Raw genomic sequence first — 13,951 nt, 5'->3', positions numbered from 1 at the left:
TTTGGTGTCCTTATGAGAAGAAGAGACATAGGAATGTGCATGCACAAGGGAAAGGCCATGTGAGGACACCACGAAAAGGTGGCCATCTGCAAGCCAGGGAGAGAGGCCTCAGGAGAAAATGAACCTGCTGACATCTTAATCTTAGACTTCCAGCCTCCAGGCAGGACTGTGAGAAATACATTTCTGTTGTTTAAGCCAGCTGCACTGTGGTATTTTGTTTTGGTAGCCCAAGCAAACTAATTCAAAGAGCAAGTTCACCGCTCTATGTGAGGTTTTGTTAAATGTTCTCACTTTTCAGCCCTACGGTGACAGTTACTATGGAGACATGTATTCTACTCTCACTCCAAATATGAACGCAAACCACTGAGTCTTATAAAGTGATAAATTTTGTGTGTAGGGGTAAGAAACATTGGTAGATGTGTGTCAGGGTGGGAGAATATACATACTGTGAGATTTTATATACATATATGGATATGTGTGTGCATATATACACAGTATACATATATGTGTGTGATATATATATTATATATATATAAAATCACTGCATTTCTACTATCAATAGAAAATGCAGTTCACATCCCCATCCCATAAAGACCTAGATTCACAGATACATATAAGTTCTTTGTGATGAGCTCCCTTTAGGGCACAGCAGCGGAGCATAGATCTGAGCAGGAGAGCAGAGAACTGAGAAGCACTCATTGACTGCTACCGTAGACTCAACTTGGCCACAGCTTCAATGAACCCCAACTAAGAGTAGGGCTTCCTTGGCTGAAACCCTGATGGAGGATCCTAAGCAAAGGCACTAAACAGATTCAAGCAGAAAGACATATCATGGAGGAATAAAAAGGAAACTAGGGAAGTGAAATGTAAATGTTCGCATATTAAGAGGATAATTAAACAATTATTTAATGATTTGGAGATAACATAGTCAATTGGTTCTGAAACACTTGTGGCAAACATCCTTTGTCTCTATGGCATTGTTTTGCCTTTGCTTCAGGGAGCATCCTCTGAGTTTGCAAAGCATGTTCACTTATATTATCTCTGTTGAACTTCAGAACAACTGATTGCGGCAAAAATATTATAACTCTCCCCCTCTCACATAACCATGTCAGAGAAAGGTTTTGTATTTGGAAGTCCCAAAGCATTTTTCTCTTCTTGTTGTTTATGTGCATCATAATCCATTTACTAAAATTATGAAAGAATGGTTTATCTCCAAACTGAATTCCTATCCTCAATAATCCCTGGGCACGCCTCAGTATGAAGGTCAAACACGAAGGATGGCCACTCTCCTCAGAGCTCCCTCTGAATGAATTAAGCAATGCTGACCCACAAGATGTCCATCCTCTCTATGCAATCACACAGATAGGCAACCACCTCTCAGTATGCCAAAATAAGCTGTACTGACCAAAATATTTTCATGAAACCATTTGTTACGGTAAATGAGTTTGGGCATTACTGCCCACGCCCATATGCAATGATTTATCTTCTGCCAAAACAATTTTTATCATCCTGTCCAGACTTTCTAAATGTGGCCCCCCACACACATACTTGTGTGGGGGGTAATGTTGGCAAAATAGTAACCAAGAATGGGGTATAGAAAATCCCTTTTAACCTTTTTGCCACCATAACAAGCTATAGCCTAACACAGATCCTGCAAAAACTCTCTCTTTCTTTTGTTCTTCTAGGGAAAATGAAAGGATTAGGTCAAGAGTTACAGATGTGATCCAGAAGAACCTTTTTTTGTGGCTATTTGTGGCTGTTGGGGCTTTGTTTTGCTTGTTTGTTGATGAGTAGGTGGCAGAAGCCTTTTCAAGAGTGTTTGTCACGTACATTTGGATTCTGAGCAGCTACTGGTCTATTTCCCAAAGGACAAGTGAGCCCACAGAGGTCAGTGGAGAGAGGGAGAGAGTGTGTGTGTGCATGCTCATGAAACGTGGATCAGAATAACAAAAGCAGATGTAGCTGATGGCAGAGGGGCAAGGCTGGAGTTAATAAACCAGCACGCACAGAGGGTTCTGTCAGATGCAGGGAATGCATGACATAATTGTTTCTGCCTCTAATGATCTCAGTGATGTGGGAGACATGAGAATATTAAAACAAGACAGAAAAACGGAAACTCATTTCTAGCAGCTGCCAAACAAAATGGGACGTAAAGCAGGAGAGAGGTATATTGAAATGTTCACAAGGTTCACTTCACCAAAATGAAACTTTACCTCTCACGGATGTCAAATCCTCACCTCTCTCTCATGCAGAAGTCCCCTCCCATTTCCCATCAAACTGTTGCTCCCTGCATTCTTTCTGCATCCTTCCCTGTCACTCTCTTCCCTCGTCACTGTCACTTTGCCTCTCTTGCTTTTTAATCTCTTTCATTTTTCCCCTTCCTTCCTCCCTTCTCCATTATCCTGTCACCACAAACATGCTCTTACAGTTGTTCTCCCCCCTTCCCTCTCTCTCTCTCACACGCGTACACGCACACAAGAACATACACGCACAGACCACACCCCTTCTCATTCATTAGTAATCAACCTGGGAGCCACATCTCCTAATCCCAGCAGTTGAATGGAGCTGTAAAAATGCTCCCTTTGAAAAACACCCAGAAGTGACGCTCCCCGGGCTGCAGGTGGGCGGTGGTGTCGGCGCTGCTGCGATGCTTGCTCCTGCCACGAGGGGGCAGCAGTGCGCGCCGAACGCCGCGCTGCCCGTCGGCGCAGGGAAGGCGGCGCGGACGGCTGCTCACCCGGTGTCACCCGTCACCGCGGCTGACAGCCTGCGTCAGGATTCCGCCCGCGTCCCAGGCGAGCACGGAGGGGCGCAGAGAATAAGCAAACGATTTCTGATGAGTGCGGGCGGGGTGAATTCCGCCTCGGGCTAGTACAGATAGATCTTTTCCAGAAACAAAGGAGTGAGTCAGGCCGCCTGTGAGTCGAGAAGGGAGAGAGGCAGGGCTGGGCGCGACCGCTCGGCCCGGCCGCCTAGCTTCTCCCCGCCCGCCTACCTGCGCCCTCCCTCCTGCCCTGCGGCCCGCGCACCCCCCGCCCACCCGCTCGCGCTGCTGCGGGGCTCCTTCCCCAGGCAGCTGCAGGCGCCGCCCGGTCGGGAGGAAGCTAGAAGGCGGTGTTGCTTGGCCACCTGGGGGCGGGGATGGAGCCGGCCTGCAGAGAGGGAGCGCGGGTGTGTTGGGGGCAGGGTGGGTTTGCAGCCTTTCCTAGGGGTGCGGCTTCCAGCAGTGACGGCAGGGTGAACTCGGCGGCAGGGGGCGGCAACGCTTCTGTCAACCGGCAGCCTCCGCGTGGCTGGGTACTAGAGCTCTGCACATGTTTGTCATAGGTCAGCTCCCCCGACACGCGCGCGCACACGGGGTCCTGGGGTCTTGTTGCGATTCCGCCCCCTTTTACTCCAAAAGAGAGGTAACAGCGTCAACAAGCAGAATAATAAAAAGCGTTTATCGAGTGCTACGCGCAAGGCAGGCTCTGTTTTTACAGTAAATCTATTATTAATTTTAATAAAATGATAGTAAATAATAACAATATGCCCAAATGATGCTGATTGATAACTATCTTATTTCCTTCGTTTTAAGTTGAGAGGATGCAGAAGTATTTTTTTTTCTTTTTCAAGAAGATAGCTAGGTCTGGTTCTCCCTATTTCCAGAGGAGCAAGATGCCTTTATATTTACTCGTGTTGGAAAAACTAGGGTTATAACTACTGTTGGACAGGATTCAGCCTCCGGGCTGTTTTCCCTCCGTGCATTTTTTTTGTTTTCTTTTGAGACGGCGTTTCGCTCTTGTTGCCCAGGCTGGAGTGCAATGGCGCAATCTAGGCTCACTGCAACCTCTGCTTCCCAGGTTCAAGCGATTCTGCTGCCTCAGCCTCCTGAGTAGCTGGTACTACAGGCGTGCGCCACCACGCCCGGGAAATTTTTGTATTTTTAGTAGAGACGGAGTTTCACCATGTTGACCAGGCTAGTCTCGAACTCCTGACCTCAGGTGATCCGCCTGCCTCGGCTTCCCAAAGTGCTGGGATTACAGGTGTGAGTCACCGTGCCCGCTCCGTGCATATTTTTTAAGTGGGAATTTTCATGTAACTGTCCCAATTTACAGCATCCCTTGAACAAGAGAACATCTAGAGACTTGACCTAAATGGTAACCCCATTGGTGGGAGTTGAGGAGCTGTTACTGCCATTAGAAGGGGCAAGTGGCTCTCCAGTTTGCCACAGTACCCACCTTGCCCTAATACGGACTGTTATTACTTGAAGCTGCACCCCTGGGGGAGGGCTACAAGTCAACCCTTTCTTCCCTAACACACACACACACACACACACACACTCACTCTCTCACACAATCTGTCTCTCAATCTCTCCTTTATTTATAAAAGTAAATATTAGACCATAAGTTTCACGAGAGAAGGAATTGTGTCTTATATTTCTTTTGAATCCCTCATAGAAATTCACTGATCTGGACATATTGTAGATACCGCTAAGAACTGCTGAATGGAAATCTGTTGAATAAAATGAGCAATGGAACATTATTTAAACTGTCAGGCTACCACAGATATTGCATCCATTATTTTTAAGGACTATAAAAACATTCATACAAGGCACAACAATTTCTGCTACACGTGCATGCATAAACAGAATTTGATGTTGAAAGCAAAAAAATGTACAACAAAATTAATGTATATGTACTTAATTATAAAAATAAACATTTTTGTTCCTTAGTAATCAGACACAGTAATAGTCTGAGAAATACTAAAGAATGATAGAACTACTCTTTTGTAAGCATTTCAATCTATAGCAAGTTTTGAGCCTGCTATAGAGGTAAAAGAGATATGATGTGATAAAAATGTAAATCAAAATCATAGTGAAAAATAAACTAATATTCTTTTATACTGTATGGAAACTCTAGCTATGCGATACTACATTGCATATGTATCAGTTATAGTTCTATTAGGGAAGTAGAACCATTGTGAGTGATATAAAACCAGGGATTTATTATAGGGTTTAGATTCTATGCAATTATGAGAATGTGTTAAGTAGTCTAAGGCCTCTGCATCTACTCTTGGGCGTGAAGTCTGCAGGGCTGACGATCAAGAAGGAAAGATGCATACGAAATGGATACAGCAAAGAAAAAATGAAACTCATAGTTGTTTCTCATGGCCTCCATGTAAATGACTTGCAGCATAAACTGACGCTTTTCACCAAGGAAACATACACATACCTAGCCAGGGATTCAGAGAAGCAGAAGCAGGGGTATCTAGCAGGACTTGAAGGAGCCCATGCCAACAGGGTGAACCAGCAGATCAGTGACAACTTAGGTGAGCCTGGTTTCACACCCACCTTCAAATCATAAAGATAGTTGGTGCTTCTTTTCTGCCTTCCAGATCTTGTTCATTTTTTCCTTGTGGCCAGTCCTGACCCGGAAACAAAAGGAGTTCTTGGAAATGTGGTTCCGGTTAAGCAAAACAGACACACATAAAGCCATAATAAAGGAATCTTTAAGATCGCAGCATAAAAATCACTGCGAAACTTGGGCTAAAGCAGGGTATTTTGAATATTCAAAAATAAATCATAAATATATGGGCGCAAATAATATATTTTTTAGTTATTTATCAGATTACTTTCTTAATCTGGGGGCATGGGAATTCAGTGGAGAATGAACAGCAAGAAGGAAAAGTACTCAAGGTGATTTGAGAGGATGGACTCCAGAGGATATCACAGATTAATTTGGGTGGAGTCACATAGGCCAGGCATTTTAATAGGATTTAAGACAAGGGGAACTCAGTAGGGCCCTATGAGACAGAACTGTAGCTTCAGATCATAAAAAGAAAAAATAAACATGAAGGAAAACTACCTATTATCTCTCTGGCATAAATGGCAAACACAGAAAAGGCCAGCCACCAACAATGATGCTGGATGATGTTTATCACCACACTGAAAACTGCACTTTTAACTCTGCCCCTCACCACCTGCCCCTCTTTCAGGCTTCTCCCTCTCTGAAACCGACCCTGCATCCACCCGGTTTCTCAAGCAAAAAATCTGGGCATCAACCTTGATTTCTCTTCCCCTCATTCTATCTGCTAACTTAGTCAACTCTATCACCAAAATAGATCTTGAATATTTTCACTTCTACTGCCACCACCATAACACAAACCTGATCTACTGTTACAGCTTTTTAACCGATTTCCCGCTTTCATTTTTCTCCTTCTTATCCATTATCTGAACAGCAGCCAGCATGCTAGTGTAAAAAGAGGAATCATACTATGTATTAAGCGCATAATATCTGTATTTGATAGTATTATGCTGGATGCCAACATATGGGTTCTAGAGCAGACCATATTATTATTTGCTTATACACAGGACATACCAGCTACCCTTTGCCCCAGTTCTTACCCCCAGGGCAATATAGTGAAAACTGAATGTCATGATACATGTGAGGGAGTTTACTGCAGACAAAGGGCCTGACTACATGAATCTGGGCATTTATGTAGGAAAAAGAGGGACAGCTGTCCCCCCATGTCTAGCCTTGCAACCTGGAGATGTCTCCATGGTCCTGGTTCTTATCACACCTTGAAATGTAAACAAATATGCTTCCCGATTAAAAAAATCTGCCTAGTACTCAAGGCCTTGTCTCTGACTTTTCTCTCACTTCACTTCTGTTTCTACTGTGCTCCATTCCCACTGCTGTTCTTGTTTTCTCGTTTTGTTTTGGTTTTTGTTTTTTGTTTGTTTGTTTGTTTGTTTGAGATGAAGTCTTCCTCTGTAGCCAAGCACAATCTCCGCTTGGCTCACTGCAACCTCCCACTCCCTGGTTCAAGTGATTCTCCTGCCTCAGCCTCCCGAGTAGCTGGGATTACAGGCATGTGCCACCACATCCAGCTAATTTTTGCATTTTTTTTAGTAGAGATGGGTTTTCATCATGTTGGCCAGGATGGTCTCAATCTCCTGACCCCATGATCCTCCTGCCTCGGCCTCCCAAAGTGCTGGGATTACAGGCGTGAGCCACCGCTCCCGGCCCCCACTGCTGTTCTTTCTAAAACACGCAAGTTCGCTTCTTCCTTAGAGTCTTTGTGCTTGTTGTTCAGTAGTTCTTTGCAAGGCTGGCCCCTTCTCATCATTAAAGAATAAGTTGAAATAAAACTTCTCAGAGAGGCCTTCCCTGACCATCCACAATACACAGCACGTCAGCATCTTTATTACATCATCCTGTTTTACTTCTTTCATTCCAATTAGGATTATGAAAAAATCTTACTTAGGGAATTATTTAATTATGTATGGCTGTCTTCTCAACCAGACTGAGAGTAAGGAGTTTTTCTTGTTTACTACTGTGTACCAAAAGCACATCGCAGTGTCTATCGCATAATAAATGCCCCCAAAATATGTGCTAAATGTCTCAATACATATTTTACAGAGTTTAGTCAGGGATAATTTATACACTTTTAGAGCCAGTTTGTCATTATATCTACTCATCCACCATGTGGGCTACATTATCAGAAAGGAATGATGCCGCAGTGGAAAGTGCATGGGCTTTGAATGAGAGTCATGCATTCAAAAACCAACTCTACCACTTACTTACAATGTGACCTTCTTTTTCTTTGAGACAGAGTCTCACTCTGTTGCCCAGGCTGGAGTGCAGTGGCGCGATCTTGGCTCACCGCAACCTTCGCCTCCCAGGTTCAAGCGATTCTCCTGCCCCAACCTCCCCAGTAGCTGGGACTACAGGCACACACCACCATGCCTGGCTAATTTTTGTATTTTTAGTAGAGATGGGGTTTCACTATGTTGACCAGACTGGTCTCGAACTCCTGACCTCGTGATCCGCCCACCTCGACCTCCCAAAGTGCTGGGATTACAGGCGTGAGCCACCACGCCCGGCCTGCAATGTGACCTTCTATCGATAAGAAATCTGAGGCTTTGAGAGATGCAGGGACTTGTCTAATGGGGACCATAGCACTAACTTTACAGAATTTTTGTAAGAATAAAATGCCAAGTGCCAACACAGATATCAGCATTCCTCCCTTCTTCCCATGCCCTGCCAGCCTCTGTCCTCTCCATTCCCTTACTAACAACTCAAAGAGTCATCCTGGAGTCCCCTTTGACCTCCAGCCTCACCCACATCAATAATCATTGATTATCGAGATAAGTAAAGAATTGTTCTACATGTAGAGGGCCTGTATGACACATCTCCGGTCATGAGGTACATATATCTAATGGAGTAATCACAAGATACAGATGCCTGCTTTTCTGGTTCTCTGTTTAAGACTTCACTGTTTTAACAAGAATTCCAGGGAACTCTTTAAACTCATATATGCTGATACTCAAAAGCACCAGTCTTTGATCACCCTGTGGTGATAATGAACTTGTTTCATACTTTCTGATTCAAAATTAAACGTATAAATAAATTACCGTAATTCAATCCATCTGCTAGTATTTCATACTAAATAAATATTTAAATAAAGGGTAAGTGGTTTGAAAGCATAACATGCTGAATAATGTAATGTACTATGGGACCAGGCTCTACCAAAGAAGTTAAAGTCAGAATTGGCCACAAGCCCTCAATGGGAACTGTTATTTTTTCTATAGATATAAAACGAGTAATGCTCATTCATTGACGTCTCAGTACTAGTGGGCTCCAAACTTTTGATCATGCATCCAATCTGGAAAAAAAATAATTTGGGCATATGTCCTCATGTATATTTATTTATAAAGTATGTAGCTGCATTTCTGTACTAATAAATTATATATCATTTAAAGCATACACAAATAATAAACCTTTTTAAAGAATGAAGTAAAAATACATGAATAAAAATTTGAATATTTTCTTTTTGTACTCTATTGGATCATCTTGCACATACTCTATTTTAGAGATTACTGATAGATCTAGTTGTTTTTTAAATATTTTTATTAGGTGGAAAAATTCCGGCAAAATGTTAAAAAATGAGCAATTACACAAGTAAACTGTCTTGTGTTTTGATATGACCAAGGAAAAGGGATGAGAATGGAACAGTGGATCCATGACTTTCCCCCGACACCCACCCTATCACCCATTCCATGCTGTACTTTACAGGGAGAAAGTACAGCAAAAAGATAAGAGGAGAAAAGACTTCACATAAACTCACTTTGGACATTAGGCACTTTCTCTTAACTAGACAATGAATATGGGATCCGGATTGGAAAAATGGTCTAGGGACTGAGTTGTGATAAAAATTTTTATCAGTTAGGACCATGGCAATTATTATTGCTTTGGGGCTTAAATGAAGCTGCTTCACAGCATAGAATTTATCTTTTAGCAGCTCCACCAAGCACCTAGGTAACAGGAATTAAAGTGGAGGGTAAGTAACACTATGGGGCTAATTCTGACAAAGGAGATATAGAAAAGGGAAAGGAACCAGCAGATAAATCTCTATCTGCTTCCCTCCAAGAGATCATTCTGCATTAGTTAGGTCCACCTTGCCTTGTTCAGAAATTGTGCTGCGTGACAGAGCAATGGGCTGTGTTTTCTTAAGTGTGGCTACCTTGGTAACATGCCACATTTGCAGAGATGGTCTGGTCACATCTGGAACCTAGCCCACTTACAGCCCTTATGATAAAGGGTCACACCTGAGATCTGAACCAAGTATTCACACACCTCCAGCCATAGTCTTTGGACAAAAGATTCAAGGCCATCTCTCCACTACTGGACAGCTGCTTATGGCAGGTCAAGAAGGAAAGCTGGGCCAGCTTCTTTTCCTGGGAATTTCGGGTTGGACAATTCAACTGAATGATGTTTATTGTCTGTGAGTACTGGAGTTGTTAATTCTGAGGGCTCAAGTGGCTGCTTTGGGCCATGGTGGTAATACCTCCCTAGAAAAAAGAAAAGAGCAGCATAAAGATGAGGTTAGAAATGATTAGATAAGCCCAGAGAAAGAGAGACTGATAAAGAAGCTGCCTTGTTTCTTTGCAGTTCCCAGATACACTTTCTATGGGGCCCAACTATTCTTTATTTATCATATTTGCATTGTGGCAGTCCTGTCTGTATTCCTACATCTTTTTCTTGCATCAACTTATATGAGTCTCTGTTCCCTCCAACCAAAAATGTCCCTGACTAAAGTGTTGTTGCTACTCAATATCTATCAAAAGCTCAGCTGAGAGAGCAGGTGAAGCCTGAGTTTGCAGTGCATCATTTCTCTAGATACTACACAAATCCACCTCTGGATTAAGTCAAGCCAACAGAAAGCTGCAAACTGGATGTGTTTTGTGTTGTCAATCTCTTCCCAATTTCCATAGAATAGCTTCTTCTAAATTGTATCTAGGGTTATACCAACAGCTCTGTTTTGAGGGACTCTTTAAGAAGCAATGAAATGCATTGCCTCAAATATATGAATGTTGTTGAGGAATATGCTCATGATATTGTGGTATTCTTCTTATAAAAACTCTCAAGATGCTGAGGCGGGTGGATCACCTGAGGTCAGAAGTTCAAGACCAGCCTGGCCAACATGGTGGAAACCCCGTCTCTACTAAAAATACAAAAATTAGCCCAGCGTGGTGGCGTGCACCTGTAATCCCAGCTCCTTGGGAGGCCAAGGCAGGAGAATTGCTTGACCCCAGGAGGTGGAGTTTGCAGTGAGCCGAGATGGCACCACTGTACTCCAGCCTGAGCGACAGAGCAAGACTCTGTCTCAAAAAAAAAAAAAAAAACCAAACAAACAAAAAACCTCTCAGGAGAAATATCTTTTTAGTCTAAGAAATAAACCTATTTCTTATTGAGAAAAACTCATATTTTGACATAGAAATAGTTTCAGAATTTATATAAATGAATGCTAGAAAGCATAGAATAGGAATCTATTTTTATATTAGGGTCATTTATAATTCTAATTTATGTCCTGACCCACTATTTAACTTTTTAAAAATTTGCTTCTAATTTATGTTACCTATTGTATGACATATATCATTGAACCCATCTTAAATGCTTTCTGGAGTAGCGAAGATGCAAAATAAAATATCTCCAATACTGATAACACAGATAGCAAAAACTTATGACATTATTTATGATAATAGTCTTGAAAAAAATCAGAAAAGTCAGACTCATACAAACATTAATTAGTTTTTAATATAAGACAAGCTATCTAAGGTAACAATTCAGAGAATTGCTAGGTTTCAAAAGCGTTGCTTGTTTCTACATCAGGGAGCTATCAAAGACACGACCCAATACACACACACACACACACACACACACACACACACACACACACACACACACAGAGAGAGAGAGAGAGAGAGAGAGAGAAAGCAAGAGAGAGAGAGTCATTACAGAATAAACCCAAGGAAGAAATTAAACAAAAAACCTAGTGACAGTCTATCATAGTTTGTCTCACATTGATCTGGAATTTTAACATCAGTCTGGGATTCTCTTATAAAGCAGAGTGGCATTCAGCAATAAAAAGAAGGCAACAGAAAATTATTTCTATCAATATGGTCTGTCTACAAAGCTCCATTTGATAATAGAATTGAGTGAGTTTAGGAAACCCTGTTAACTGCTCATCTCAGGGCCCTTTTATTTTTCTTTCCAATGCCTAGGGGAAAGATCAAGCTAATATTTCTGAAGGCACTCTAAATTCATAGAAGAATTAATACTTTTAAAATATTTTTCCTTCAATTTATTGACAGATCACATTCTTTCTTTTCTATGATCATGTCCTGATTCCCAACAAAAAATTATTCTAAGTGGGGGAAGTATAGAATGATGGTTAACAGCATATCTCTTATTGAGGAGAAATAGGATATTTGCACAGTCTCAAAGCATATTCTCCCAAGACATTTATCAATTACAAAAAAAATAATTTTATAGTAGAGATATCTAGCAGGCACTACTACTTAACCAACTGAAAATACCCTGAAAAGGACACTGTCATAGTCTGTTTAGACTGCTATAAGAAAATAGCATAGACTGGGTATCTTAAACAACAGAAATTTATTTCTCACAGCTCTGGAGGCTGGAAAGTCCTAGATCAAAGTGCTAACAGATTCAGTCTCTATTGCGGGCCCACTTCCTGGTACATAGATGGCTGGCTTCTCACTGTGTCCTCACAAGGCAGACAGGGCCAGGTAGCTCATTGAGGACTCTTTATAAGAGTACAAATTCCAGGTCGGGCGCGGTGGCTCATGCCTGTAATCCCAGCACTTTGGGAGGCCGACACGGGCGGATCATGAGGTCAGGAGGTCGAGATCATCCTGGCTAACACGGTGAAACCCTGTCTCTACTAAAAATACAAAAAAATTAGCCGGGCGTGGTGGCCGGCGCCTGTAGACCCAGCTACTCGGGAGGCTGAGGCAGGAGAAAGGCGTGAACCCGGGAGGCAGAGTTTGCGGTGAGCCGAGATAGCACCACTGCAGTCCGGCCTGGGTGAAAGAGGGAGACTCCATCCCAGAAAAAAAAAAAAAAGAAAAGAGTACAAATTCCATTCACAAGAGCTCCATCATCATAACTTAATCACTTCCTAAAGACCCTACTTGTAAATACCATCACATTGGAAATTAGGGTTCAACAATATCAACTTGGGGGGAATACATTCAGTCTACAGCAGACACACCATCACTTCTGTGGTATTCATACCAAAAAAATGCATAACCTCCATCTAATTATGAGGCAACACCAGACACACCAAAATTGAGAGATATTTTATGAAGTAACTGACCAATACTCTTCAAAAGTGTCAAGTTCATGGGGAAAAAAAAGGAAAGAATAAAAATCTGTGACATATTGAAGGAAACTAAGGAAACACAAAAACTAAATGCAATATGGGATCCTGGATTTTATCCTGGACCAGAAAAAAAGGCATTAGGATAAAAATTGGTGACATTCTAGTAAAACACGTTCCTTCACTACTAATTTTGTATCAATGTTCATTTCCTGGTTTTGATAAGTATACCATGGTTATACAAGATGCTAACATTAGGTAAGCCAAGTAAAGGGAATATGGGATTCGTTTTGTTTTTGTTTTGTAAAGCACATCCCCTGGAACTAGTCAGCCTAGAGCTAAATCCTGGTTCACCACTTGCTAGTTGTATGACCTTGGGCAAATTATACTCCTGTGTCTCAGTTTTCTCATGCTTAAAACAGGGTTAATAATAGGGTTTACCTCACTGAATGGTTATGAGGATTAAATGAATAAAAATATATTAGTACCTTAAGACAGTGCTTGGCACTTAATAAACTCAATATTTATTGACTGTTTTTATTTATCTTCTCTGTTTTTCCTGCCTTCCTCCATGCTCGCATAATACTTTTTGTCTTTATTGGATCATTTAACACGTAGTTGGCTTTCTATTGCAGACTTCTCAGGTATTGGCAACATGTTCACCTGACTTCAGATTTGTGCTTGAAACTTGACTTCAAGTTACTTATTCTTGTAAAGCCAATTTGCTTATAGAAAATGAGTATTAATATAATATTTATGGCTTTGTGAGATTAAGTGATATGTGTGAAGTGCCTCGTAAAGCTCAGTGACTCACAGTAGGCGTTAAATAGATGATAGCTATGTTTCTACTCTCCCTCCTTCCAGTAAACTACAGACATGTTTTATTCATCTTGCTAGACCCCACTTCCCCTAGAACCCTCATTTTAATATAAACACATACACACAACATACCATACACACACCACCTGAATATCACACACACATATGCACACACAATACATATAGATTAGCACAGTGCTATGCATATAATATTAGGTTGGTGCAAAAGTAATTGCGGATTGTCCATTTTATTTGATTTTTATAGAAATAGTTTATGATCATCCTGCAATGAAGTAAAGATGAAGCAGGCCTAGGAAATAAATAAATCCATTTTTATACTAAAATGCATTTATTCTAGTTTTTATACAATAAACTTGCCCCTTCTAATGTCAAAAAACACAATTAATTTTGCACCAACCTAATAGATGTTAAATAAGTACATTTGAAATAAAGAGTTAAACCA

General features: G+C 41.5%; 3 annotated features.

Moving 5' to 3' along the window:
* Nucleotides 2,084-2,762: an enhancer, noted in NCBI's record as "NANOG-H3K4me1 hESC enhancer chr3:115503423-115504101 (GRCh37/hg19 assembly coordinates)". NCBI's record gives its function as "activates a minimal SCP1, AML or CMV promoter by ChIP-STARR-seq in naive H9 embryonic stem cells {active_cell/tissue: H9 hESC(naive)}" and the evidence as "EXISTENCE:reporter gene assay evidence [ECO:0000049][PMID:30033119]".
* Nucleotides 2,794-3,294: an enhancer, noted in NCBI's record as "H3K27ac hESC enhancer chr3:115502891-115503391 (GRCh37/hg19 assembly coordinates)". NCBI's record gives its function as "activates a minimal SCP1, AML or CMV promoter by ChIP-STARR-seq in naive H9 embryonic stem cells {active_cell/tissue: H9 hESC(naive)}" and the evidence as "EXISTENCE:reporter gene assay evidence [ECO:0000049][PMID:30033119]".
* Nucleotides 3,004-3,053: a silencer, noted in NCBI's record as "silent region_14621". NCBI's record gives its function as "represses an Ori minimal core promoter by ATAC-STARR-seq in GM12878 lymphoblastoid cells {active_cell/tissue: GM12878}" and the evidence as "EXISTENCE:reporter gene assay evidence [ECO:0000049][PMID:35858748]".

Source organism: Homo sapiens, chromosome 3 (genome assembly GCF_000001405.40).
Source record: "Homo sapiens chromosome 3, GRCh38.p14 Primary Assembly".
NCBI lineage: Eukaryota > Metazoa > Chordata > Mammalia > Primates > Hominidae > Homo > Homo sapiens.
The sequence above is the reverse complement of the archived record's forward strand: the minus strand, read 5'-3'. Positions and strand labels throughout refer to the sequence as shown.